The 12,787-nt window shown below is 44.2% G+C and overlaps 1 annotated feature.

Moving 5' to 3' along the window:
- Nucleotides 11,702-11,811: an enhancer, noted in NCBI's record as "active region_19791". NCBI's record gives its function as "activates an Ori minimal core promoter by ATAC-STARR-seq in GM12878 lymphoblastoid cells {active_cell/tissue: GM12878}" and the evidence as "EXISTENCE:reporter gene assay evidence [ECO:0000049][PMID:35858748]".

Raw genomic sequence — 12,787 nt, 5'->3', positions numbered from 1 at the left:
GACAGCTGGGAGGTGATGTGGTCTTTCTACACAGCCATGCACAGCAGCTTCCTGCCAAAGGAGGGAGAGACACGAATCACACCCGCAGGGCTTGCTGGCCCAGGGAGGGGGATGGCCAGGATGATGCCACATTTATATATGACCAGGGCCCTGTGAGAAGGGGTTCTTCAATTCAATAAAATGGCAGCATCATGGCCCTGGGCCAGCTGGCTCAGGCCTGGGAGGCCTTGAAGCACTGTGTGGATGGCCCAGGAAAAAAAGAGAGAGGGAGAGAGCCTTGGTTACACAGAGAGCTGCTCCCAGCCTGGGAAGAGACTGCTAGGGTAAGGACCACACAGTCCTACTCACAGAGGACCAGGAAGTTGGGACCTATGGTTGGTCCAGGAAGATGCACAGAGAAAGGGAACTGTAGGGAGAGGAAGTGATGTGTTTAAAAGCATGAAGCATGGTGTGTTGGAGAACTTCCCACAAGTTGGCATTACTAGTGTAAGACCATGGGCACTTGCTGGTGCTTGGAGGTATTGGGAAAAATTAAAAATCCTACCAACCTAGAGAATCCTCTCCACAATAGGTAGAAAAGAAAGACAACAGCTTTATTATTGAGTAAGCGTTAAACCAGATTACAAAGTGTATGGCAGGTAGCTGAGATGACAAAACCAAAAGAAATTTTTATACCGCCAAACAGTTACCATCCATTACATATCTGTGCTCAAGATTAACAGCAACTTGTCTTCCTGTAGGATTTGGCAGCACCATTTTCTGTGCATTCTTTTATTATTCATCCATGTTCACCTACTAATTAGCCTACTAATTGCCTATATCCGAATTGCCTTTGCCTCCATGACGGGCAGTAGTTACAGCTTGAAGCAGAGTGCCAAGGCCAAACTCTCATGATGACCAGGAAGTAGGGACGCTGTCTTCCTTGATGTTTTTATATCAAAGAGACGGCTCCCAGACCCGTAAAGCATTCCCATGTTGTAAAGCTGACAAGAGTCTTTCTTAGACTTTACAAATATTTGCAAACATATCAAAGGGACAGAAGAAGGATTCATAAACACTAGATTTCCCACAGGAATGTTCTAAGAAAGGGGAGGGGTTCTTTCCATTTAACCACCGGGAAAGTTCAATTTTTATATTTACCCTTGCATGGGTGATGATGAGGCACTGAGACATGGGTGTGGCATGGGCCTCCTTCCCCAAATTCTGTGGGAAATTCCACAGTCAGCTACCTTTCAAATTTCTAGAGGGAAACAATTAGAAAGCTGGCCAGGACCAAAGACCAACACAAAGTAAATTTCTTCAAGACTGGGAGGTGGGGACTGCTTTCCTGGGGGAATCAGACGGAAGGTTCTTTCAAGAAGCTTGCCCTATTTAGTTTGGTGTTATCTCTGCTCTTGTGAGAACTCCATGCACAGGAAGTGCCTGGCCAGGTGTGAAACCGACCGTCCTCACAGGTTCAGCCTTGGAGGGGCTTCTTTTTGTGGGGCACAGCATCTCTTTGGTGGGGCCCCTTCTTGACATCTAAACTACCCCATTTCTGCATGGCATGCAGTCATTTCCAGTACTAGAAACTTGCAAACGTTTCCAAAGTTGCTTCCGCAACCCACAGAAATTGCCCACAGCATCCCATCCTCCACCTCAAGTCACAGGTGTCCTGGAGCCTGCAGCAACCTCAGCAGGAGGGAACTTGCTCTCACAAAGACCAAAGGAGCCCTCAGTCTATTGTGAAGATCACTCCATTGCATCCCCAATCCACCTGCCAAGAGAAGTGGCCCCACTCAGCAGCACAGAGGCTCAAAAACAGACACAGAGGGGAGAGTATGACTCTAGGAAAAGTGGATGCTTTTAGAAGCAGCTCAAACCCATCATTAAGTCCTCAGGGTCTTCTCTTGTTAATTTTGTACCATTTCAAGGCCCAATGCAAATGTCCTCTCTTTCTTTCATGGAGTTTTCCTGCTTTCCTGCCATCCCCAATTGCCTCTGATCCTGCCCACCTCCCACCCTCCCCAGCCCAGAGCCTGTGTTTGCCTTGCTTCCATGACATCCTCATGTCAACTGGACAACTAAATAACTGCAATACTTTTTTTTTTTTTTTGAGACAGGGTCTCACTCTGTCACCCAAGCTGGAGTGCAGTGGCATGATCTGGGCTCACTGTAGCCTTGACCACCTGGGCTCAAGCGATCCTCCCACCTCAGCCTCCTGAGTAGCTGGGACTACAGGCATGTTACAATGCTGGCTAATTTTTGTATTTTTTGTAGAGATGGGGTTTCACCATGTTGCCCAGGCTGAATGCAATAGTTTTTTTTAAAAATTTTCAGAAGAATGAGGTAGCTGTGGAAATGTCTTAAAGTTAGATAACAGGGAAGTTTGCCAGATTCATCAACTCTTTCTTTCATACCATTTCACTCTACAGCATGTGATTCTGGTTGGTAACAGTTTACCCACAGCAGCAGTGCTTTTAAAATTAAAGTCTATCCTCTCAAACTTTGCCTCTGACTTATCAACTAAGTTTATGTAATATTCTCATTCTTCAGGAGCCACCACCCTGATCATTCAGCAGCCATAAACATCAAGACAAGACCCTCCATCAGTAAAAAGATTACAACTCACTGAAGGTTCAGATGATTGTTAGCATTTCCAGGCAATAAAATATTTTTAATGAAAAAAATGTGCATTTTTAGAGATAATGCTCTTGCATACTTAATAGACTACAGTATAGTGTAAACATAACTTTTATATGAAATGGGAAACTAAAAAATTCTTATGAATCACTTTATTGTGATATTTACTTTGCTATAATATTTGTTTTCTTGTAGTGGTCTGCAACTGAACCTGCAGTATCTCCAAGGTATTCCTGTACTTTAACTGGATGAATTGTATGTGATGTGAATTAACACTCAATAAAGCTGTTTTGAATTAAAATCACAAATATTCTCATTTTGGTAGACATCCTTCCATTCTCTGTCTTGTGCATTTTTATATACTTTAAAAAAAAAGTAATGGTCAGACTGAATGCATTGCTTTGTAACCTGCTTTGCCCCCTTAAGTCAGATGATGTATATTTTTCCCACATTCTTCTGGAACATGATGTTAGTGTTCAAAGACCAGTCTATTTGAGGCAGTAGAGCATGATGATTAAAAGTGTGCACTCGGGTTGGATCACCTGAGTTGAAATCTTGGCTTGATGAACTTGGGCAAATCACTCAACTTCTCTGAGCTCAGTTTTCTTATCTGTAAAATGGAGGAGATATCAATAGTACCTCTCTCACTAGGTTGTTGTGGAATATCAAATATATGGAAAGCACTTAAAACAGTGTCTAGCACATATAAGCACTACGCAAACTGCTGTTCTTGATTTGTTTATAGTCCCCTAGAGTTGAGCATTTAAGGGTCAAGTTTGCTATTCTAAGCATCACTGCAGTGACTGTCCATGACTTTTCCTTAAGATAAATGGAATTTCTGGGTTATAGTGTTTGCACATTTTAAGGTTCTTATATGTATTGACAAATGGCTTTCCATTGATAGGGTACTGTTTCAACTCTCAGCAGTGGTGTGTGGCAATGCCTGTTCTCCCATCAGCATCACCAGCAGCCCCTACTGACCAGCACTGGCTTGTTCCCTCACACACTCACATGCCTCATTATACATGCTTACACCCAAACGCACACACACACTCCACACACACTTACACACATAAGCTCAAATGCTCATACACACACCTACACACTTACACACACACCCAACATTTACACACCTACACAATTACACACACACCCAAACACTTATATACACACCTATGCACTTATACACACACAAACACACAGATTTATTAAGCTCGGATATAATCACGTAATGCATTTATTTTAAACCAATTTGATAGGCTGAAAAACATCCTCTTCCTCTCTTAATTTGCATAGCCCTGATTGTTAGCAAGGCTCATCGCTTATTGCAATGTTCACTGACCATGTGTCTGTAGCAGGATGTTGACAGCCACTTCTCTTGCTGCCTGAGAAATGGCTACTGTGAACCAAAGGGCATCAAGAAACAAACAACTAGGGGGTCAATCACTGCTTCCTTGGCTAATTCAGAGGAAGCTGAACTTTTCTGATACTTAGAAAGAAAAGAGAATATTAAGAATAGAAAGTCATAGGGGAGAGTGCTGTGGCTTTTCCTCTCTGGTAGAAGAGGTAGCTTTCCTGATCACCTCCATCCCTTCACTCCCCTAGGCCATGTGAGTAGGGGCTTCAAGAGAATCTCTTGTGCGTTTAGGAGGTGGCTTTGAGAACGGAGATTGACATCTTGCTCCCTAGCTGGAGTCTGTTTAAGCACGGCTATTTAAGCAGGGGAGGAGGGAAGACTCTGAGAAAGAGAGGATGAATTGGAGAAGGAGCAGGAATAACTTGCAAGGGGGTGGCCCTGCAGCAGCCTGCTTTTGCAGCATTAGGAGATAAGAATGCAAGAGTCTCCTACAGACCAGTTGGACAATCACAGAAAGCAGCTGCACTTGCACCATCTTGCCAGGACCTCACCCAGAAAGTCTGGCCACCTAGAAAGGAGAAACCTGCAGAACAAGAAGCAGTGGGTTGGGAGCTGAGTGAGGTCTGGCCAGGGTCAGACCTGAGTAGAACCACATCAGGGAGTGTACAGAGACGGGCTTTGAGAGCTCCTCCATGCAGCCCCCCATCTCTGGGTGGGAACAGGAGACAGTCACAAAGAGAAGGCTGCAGCCCCACCAGGAAGTTAGAGATTGTATCTCTCTCCTCCTCTTTCTCCCCACTGCCCAACCCTAAGGAATCAAGCTGGGGCGGGGGGGCAGGCAGTAAAGACAATGTTCCCTTCAAGGGAAAAATCTGGCAGGTGCTTAAGGCAGAGGATGAAACAAGGGCTAAATTGTGTAGGAGACTGGAGCTTTAACCTGCGCTGCTCTGGACTGGACCTGTCCCTTCTATATTGGGAAGTGACTGGAAGGCCACAGGAGCTGACCAAATATCATCAAAGAATGGGAAAGAAAAGCTCAACACAGGACAATGGACAGCAATGATTAGAGAAACAAAAACATTTATGGCCATGCCCCTCCACTGTCAGATAATTTAATCAATCTGCTACATATTTTTCTTCCTTTATAAATCCATAGGTTGGCAGTGCGTGGTAGCTCACATCTGTAATCCCAGCACTTTGGGAGGCCGAAGTGGACAGATCACGAGGTCAGGAGATTGAGACCATCCTGGCTAACACGGTGAAACCCCACCTCTACTAAAAATACAAAAAAATGAGCCAGGCGTGGTGGCGGGCGCCTGTAGTCCCAGCTACTTGGGAGGCTGAGGCAGGAGAATGGTATGAACCCAGGAGGCGGAGCTTGCAGTGAGCCGAGATCGTGCCACTGCACTCCAGCCTGGGCAACAGTGCAAGACTCTGTCTCAAATAAATAAATAAATAAATAAATAAATAAATAAATAAATAAATAAATAAATCCATAGGTTGTGCCTGTGACAGGTGTTTCTGGATCTTCTCTGCTAAAGAGGAAGCACTGAGAGGCTGAACTGTCTCTGACTAAATATTTTTAATGTTTTGAAAAGAAGCAAACTTGGGTCCTTTAAAAGAAAAGCAAGTCTGTGTTGGAGGTGTAGATTGGAGAGTTGGTAAATAAATTTCTCTTCTGTCAGTTTCACATTAGCTTTTCTGCCACCAGGTCCCAAAGCACTGTCCATTTCACCCCTTGAACCCAGCCTTATGCTGTCAGTTGTAGGGAAGATCCTCCCTGTGGACTGGAAAAGCCATCCCATAATAAAGAGCACACAGGGCCAGGCGCGGTGGCTCATGCCTATAATCGCAGCACTTTGGCAGCTGAGGCAAGCAGATCACGAGATCAAGAGTTCAAGACCAGCCTGGCCAACATGGTGAAACCCTGTCTCTATTAAAAATACAAAAATTAGCTGGGCATGGTGGCACGTGCCTGTAATCCCAGCTACTCAGGAGGCTGAGGCAGAATTGCTTGAACCGGGACCCAGGCGGCAGAGGTTGCAGTGAGCTGAGATCATGCCACTGCACTCCAGCCTGGACTACAGAGCAAGACTCCATAAAAAAAAAAAAAAAAAAAAAAAAAAAAAAGCACACAGAGGTGATTGCCAGCAGTCAAGCCACGTGGGGAAAAGCCAAACACTCCATCCCTCCCAGAAGAACCCAGTAAATAGGCGCCAGTGGACACCATGAGAACCCAGGGCTATTGGGAAGAAATGTGTAACAGAAGATTCCTGGAGGGTTAACCTTTAATGTGACAAGGTTCTTAAGGCCTCATGGCTTCACCAGTGTTCAGAAGAGGCAAGAAACAGGAGGGAGCATTCTCTTCCTTTGTAGAACACTTTGCAGTTATAAAGTACATTCTTATTTGAGTCTCATCACAATTCTTCAACATAGGTAAGGCAAGGCTAGTATCTCCACTATGCAGGAGAAACATGAGGCCCAGTAAGTTAAAGTGATATATCAAAGGTCATATGACTCAGCATGACAGAATCAGGTCATCTTGACTCTCCATTGCCTACTCCAATGTATAACTGGGGTCTCTGCTTAGGCCAGGGCAGCACCTAGGCTGGAAATCAAGTGGTGGGCACCTCTAGAAATGCTTGGTGAGATGGTCACTAGGTGACTATCAGAGTTTGCAAATTTTAAATCTTGCAATAATTCATTTTGTAACTATATTATATTGATATTCATCAACACTAACTGATTCATTCTTGCAACTTCTGGTGGTTTTTGAAACGTGCTTGTAAATTATTTGACACTCTGCACATTAAGAGACAGAGTCAGTATCCTCACCTCTTGAACTTGGGCGGGCCCTTGTGGCTGCATTAATGAACAGAATGTAGTAGAAGTGTGACTTCTGAAGTCAGATTAGAAAAGATCATGCAGCTTCTACCAGTGTCTCTTTAGGAAACTTACTCCAAGGCTCCAGCTGTCATGTAAGAAGTCTGGTTACCCTGGAGCCACTTTGGGGAGAGATCATATGGAGGAGATTGAAAGATAATGATAGATAGATAGATAGAAGATGATAGATAGATAGATAGATAGATAGATAGATAGATAGATAGATAGATCCTCCAGCTGTTTGAGTCCTTCAGCCCAGGTTCTAGACCTGTGAGTGAATAACTCTTCAGAATGGCCCTAACCCAGCCACTATCTTTTTGCACCTTAATGATAGACCACATAAGAACCACCTGGCTGAGCCCAGCCAACCCTAGAATGTCATTGCTTTAAACCACTGTTTGGGGTGGTTTGTTACACAGCAATAGCTAACCAGAGCACATCTTATCAATTTATCTAATAGGAGTTTATATTTATGCAAAAGTCATAATAGTATCCTGTAATCTGGGACTCCCTTGTCCATGCTTTTGGCTTGAGCTCCCAGTCCATATTCCAGGTAAAGTTATTCCCTTGGTGGCAGTGACTCCAAGAGCAGATATTGTTTCTGAAACAGAAACATAAATAGTCTTCATCAATGGCAATTGTTGTTATTTCCATTATTAATGAAACCATACTAACCAAATTAGGGCTGAATGTGGATATTAATTATTCTTCCCCTTCACATCCTCTCCTGCCCTTACTTGCTCTTTAGAAGCCTACTTTATAAGGAATCATGGAGTTTTAGAAAGTAAAAGCGATCTGGGAGACATCAGGACCCACCCAACTATTTTACAGAGGAGGAAAATGAAGCTGGGGAGAGGCTACCACTTGCCCCAGCCTGCACAGTTGATAAGAAGGCCAGGTGGGACTAGAACACAGGTCTCCAGGCAATCAGGTCCACATCCTTGATTCTCTCTTTCATCTCATTCTGTCTTGGACTGAAAATGGACTCTGCCACTTTTAGCAAGGACCCTCCTGAGGAAAATCCAGACCCTGAAGGCTGACCACTAGGTCATCTCATAGTTGAGAGGAAGCTGACTAGTGTCCTCTCAGCCACCTAGTATGACTCTAGGTCAAATCAAGATCCCATCCAGGTTAATACATTCATGTGAACAGCTATTAAAAACAAACAGAACAAACCAAAATGGAACCAAAACAAGCAAGGTTGGTGCTTTTTCTTTTTCACTGAAAGTGGGAAATAAATGAGAGTTGTCTGTGCTTCTTGATATTAATCGTGTGAGGTGGCAGAGAAAGATGTGGGACTTGAAGCAGATTCAAAATTCTCCCTCCCACCAAATCCAAAAAACACCAGAGATTTTTGTTCATTTGTTTTTGAGAAAACAGGCAAAAGTCTTCCAAACCAAGGAAGGAACAAGCATCATACCATACACTACTTTGCAAAGTGCGGTCAAAAGCAGAACTGGAAAATACTTGGCATCATCAAGTGGCTTCCCCCAGAAACAATAAGGATGGAAATGGGGTGGAGCTGGGTCAGAGGGATGTGGCCTGGAAGCTGAGTGGACAGATTCTAAAAAGTATTACTTAAATCCCCAATTTTAAGGAAGTTGATGAGGAAGGCTGATTTCTAGCTTCCTAGATGCTCAGAACACATTTTGGGGTTGCAATAAAAGTGGAAGTTATTGGTGAGGGCAGTGGCAGGGGGTGATGTCCTTCACGTTAGAGCCTCTGGAGGTTGGAAAGTACAAAGACCAGGGTGAGCATAAAAGGAAGTGATTGATGGAATGACTGGACCTAAACTGCTGTGGAAACTGGCCTTCACCATCCCACCTCTCCCTAATCCCATGGGCAGAAAATGGCAGCTTTTACCTTAAAAGCTGGAAAAATAATCCTTTTTTATTTTTATTTTATTTCAATAGTTTTCGGGGAACAGGTGGTTACAGGGATAGATTCTTTAGTAGTAATTTCTGAGATTTTGCTGCACCTGTCACCCAAGCAGTACACTGTGCCCAGTGTTTAGTCTTTTATCCCTTACCACCCTTGCACCCTTGAGAAATAATCTTTTTAAAAAGCAAATAAAAGCTGACTGGAAGGGGCTGAGGCTTCCAACATGGGAGTAACATCTTAGAGCAGGGGTCTCCTTGAATTGGTTTGACTTCTCCCACTCTCACAGAAGAAAGCAAGATTTACCCATCAGCACCCCCTTCCACAGCCAGAGAGCTCACAGTCACACCTTCTCATTCGCAGAAGGACCCCAGTCCCCCATTTACTTCAACTTAACAACCCAACCTAGAATGCATAAATAGAAATGAGCTGCCACAAACACCATTCACTCAGGAAAAGAAAAGGACCAAGATAAGTCAACAGAACAAATGAACTTGGAGGAGGTAGAACAAGGAAAGGAAAAAGAACTAAGTAAAAACCTTAAACTCTAATTATCCTCTTGGAGAACCAAGATGATACGTCCGTAAAACAAAACCCACACTTTGGGAGGCCAAGGCAGGTGGATCACGAGGTCAAGAGATTGAGACCATTCTGGCCAACATGGTGAAACCTCGTCTCTACTAAAAATACAAAAATTATCTGGGCATGGTGGTGGGCACCTGTAATCCCAGCTACTCAGGAGGCTGAGGCAGGAGAATTGCTTGAACCCGGGAGGCAAAAGTTGCAGTGAGCCCAGGTCACGCCACTGCACTCCAGCCTGGTGACAGACCGAGACTCTGTCAAAAAAAAAAAAAAAAAAAAAAATCTTCTATTAAAAAGGAGCAGTTGAAAACCAAGAGTTTGTTCTAAATCCCTTTTAAAATATATTTACTTTTTATTATCACAAATATAATACATTCAATTTTTTTGAAACCAAAAGTCAAAGACAGAAAAAATACATTAAAAATTCAAGAAGAACTTGCAGAATACAGAGTAAAATGACCAAAATAAAATGGGTAATTGGAGAAAAAAAATACATAGGGTCAATTTAGGTGGCTCAACATTTACATTGCAGGAATTTCAGAAAAGGAGAAGAAGGAAAACAGAAAGCAGAAAATTATCAAAGAAACAATTGAAAAAAATCTCCCGGAGTTGAAGAAAGATATAAGCTTTGGATTGAAAGACCCCAAGCACTGAGCACAATGAACAAAGAGTGATCCATAGAAATAACCTCTTGGAATTTCAGAGCACCAACAATCTAAGGAGATCCTAAACACTCTCAGAGAGAAACAAGAAACAAATAAACAACAAAAGAATAAGAACCAACTTTGGGAGGCCAAGGCAGGTAGATGACTTGAAGTCAGGAGTTTGAGACCAGCTTGGCCAACATGACAAAACCCCGTCCTATTAAAAATACAAAAGTTAGCTGGGTGTGGAGGCAGGCACCTGTAATCCCAACTACTCCAGAGGCTGAGGCAGGAGAATCACTTGAACCCAGGAGGTGGAGGTTGCAGTGAGATGAGATCACACCACTGCATTCCAGCCTGGACAACAAAGACTCCATCTCAAAAAAAAAAAAAAAAAAGAATAAGAACCAGATTGGCATCTTTCTCATTAGCAGTTTGCACCTCTGAAACAGAGAGGAGTTAGCTTTAAGGATTCTCAGACCCTGTTTAACTCAAAAGCTTATGAATCCAAATTTCTAGCAAGTGTGAGCATTGCCATTGAGATCATGCGACCCTGGCAATCTTGATGACAAAAATGGCTGGGCTCTATTTTCTGTTGTTGTTGGACAAGAATCTCCCTTGATATCTGAAGCTAAGAAGTGCTAAGAACCTCATGCTCCTCCAACAGCATTGCAATAACTTGCTCCAACAGAAGGCCAAGTCCACATAGATTAACCTTGATGTTCACGTAGAAAAAGGCCAAAGACCTCACACACTGAAGGCCAGCAATCCCCTGCAAGCCCTGCTCCAGCCCTTGAAGAAGCCAGCAATCATTTGGGCTGTGGCCTCCCACAGAGGAGTGAGTCTTCTCTGTTTTGCAAGAAAAGCAGGAAGTATGTTGAAAGTCATAACCACAGCAAAAAACTGCCACATCAAACTGAGAGGTGCTCTCTAAACATGGAGATATCATTCACCACCAGGAACCCAGATGAAAGTAAATCCCACTGTCCACAGAGTTACTTACACACCTGTTCATGTCTTGGCCAGGATTTTATCTAAAATGAAGTTCTGTGTGTAGTAGGTTATTAATAAAAGCAAAACAAAGAGAAACAGAAACTTCTACCCTCACCTGTCCAAGAGAAGCCACACTCGTGGTGAGATCCTGTAACAAATGACAATTAATTTGACCTTTCTAACTGGAGTGTCTGGAATTGTGGGGTCAGGTTTTGAAGATGAGAGGCTGTAACTAAGAAATATCCACTAGCTGTTAGTAGAGAGTCTACAACCTTGCCTTTTAAAGTGTAGTTCTCAGAGCAGCAGCAGCAGCTGCTGCAGCACCAGGAGGCTTTATGAGACACAGAGTCTTAGGCCACAAGCCAGACTGCCTTTCACCAAAATCTCCAGAGGATACATTTGGGCATTAAAGTTTGAGAGGTGCTGGTGTACAAGACCTGGGTGGATGTGGATGTGCATGTGCTGGGAGGGACCCTTCTTGGAATTTTGTACCAAAGATTGTGACCCTCTTAGGCAATCAAGTCTGAGTCATAGAGGAGGCCCCAGAAATTCAGCCTAGAAACGCCTGTGTTTAAAAACAGAAGGCCATGGCTTCCAGGAAGGATGATCTATTTTATAATACCGTAAGGTTTCAAAATGACTACAGCCCCCTTATCCGCCTCCACTGAGCTCCACACCGTCGTCTACCCTGACACTCTTGGTGCTGGAGACATAGGGGTCCGGAGCAAGGCAATCACAGGGGACAGGAACCTTGCTTTTTGAGACCCTGGGCCCCAGAACAGCTCTAGCCAAGGCTCCCACACCCCTCATTCTAGAAATGAGGGTTTTCTAGAAAGTCAGGCCTGCATGCAGGGAAGGGAGGTGAGGGTGCCCATGAGTGAGCCGCTCAGAAATCCCTTCTCCAGCCCCACTCTCTCAGTGACCCCACCTGGACATCATCTACTCTATCCACAAGAAGCGGGTTCAGCCGAGGGGATTGACCAGAAGCTCAGGTGTGAGCCTGAGGGCTGACTGCTGGTTATTTTTCTGTCCTGGAACACCTGACCCACCTGCCTGTCTTCATGTCGCCAGTGTGGGGAGGGAGAGAGACAACTAACTATAACCAGGAGGGTCCCCGCAGTGGCTCCGGCCTCGCCTCCCCTTTCTTGCCTGAGACACTAACTTAGTTCCTGGTTTGGTGCCTGTCGGCGCCTCCATTACCAGTAGCTTAGCTCCCACCGTGGGGAGGGAATCAAAGAGGTTGTGCCGCCCTTGCCATGTAGCTGCCCCTGAATCTCATCCAGGTCAGTTCCAGATTCTAAACTGAATTTTTTTCATGATATTGTCAAAACAGTGAGGAAACATTTTTTAAAAGCCCTATAGAAAAAAAGAAGAAGAAAGAAAGAAAGAATTGGGTTCAGCTGCAAATAACAGGAAAAAAAAATAGTGGCTTAAACCAGTGCCTCTCAAACCATCCTGTACACAGAAATCACCCGGGGATCTTGTTAAAATGCAGACCGTGATTCAGAAGCCCTGGGGCTGGCCCTGACGTTCAGCATGTCTAATGGGCTCCTGTGCGATGCCCAAGCTGCTGGTCCACAGAGCTCACTCCATAGGGAGGGCTTCAGCAAGACAGGAGTGTATTCCTCAGCCACAAGAAACCTGGAGTCTGGCCCTCCAGACTATATCCATCGCTGGTGATGGGACCATTGGTACACCAAACCTCAGCAACATTCAATTTACCCATCTAACAAATCTGCATGTGTACCCTCAGAACCTAAAATAAAAGTTGAGATAGAGGAAAAAAAAGAGTTTGTTGCTTTCAGCCTCTTGATTAGTGAGATGGAAA

This window comes from Homo sapiens, chromosome 3 (assembly GCF_000001405.40).
Source record: "Homo sapiens chromosome 3, GRCh38.p14 Primary Assembly".
Classification (NCBI taxonomy): Eukaryota; Metazoa; Chordata; class Mammalia; order Primates; family Hominidae; genus Homo; species Homo sapiens.
This window is presented reverse-complemented; position numbering and strand designations above follow the sequence as displayed.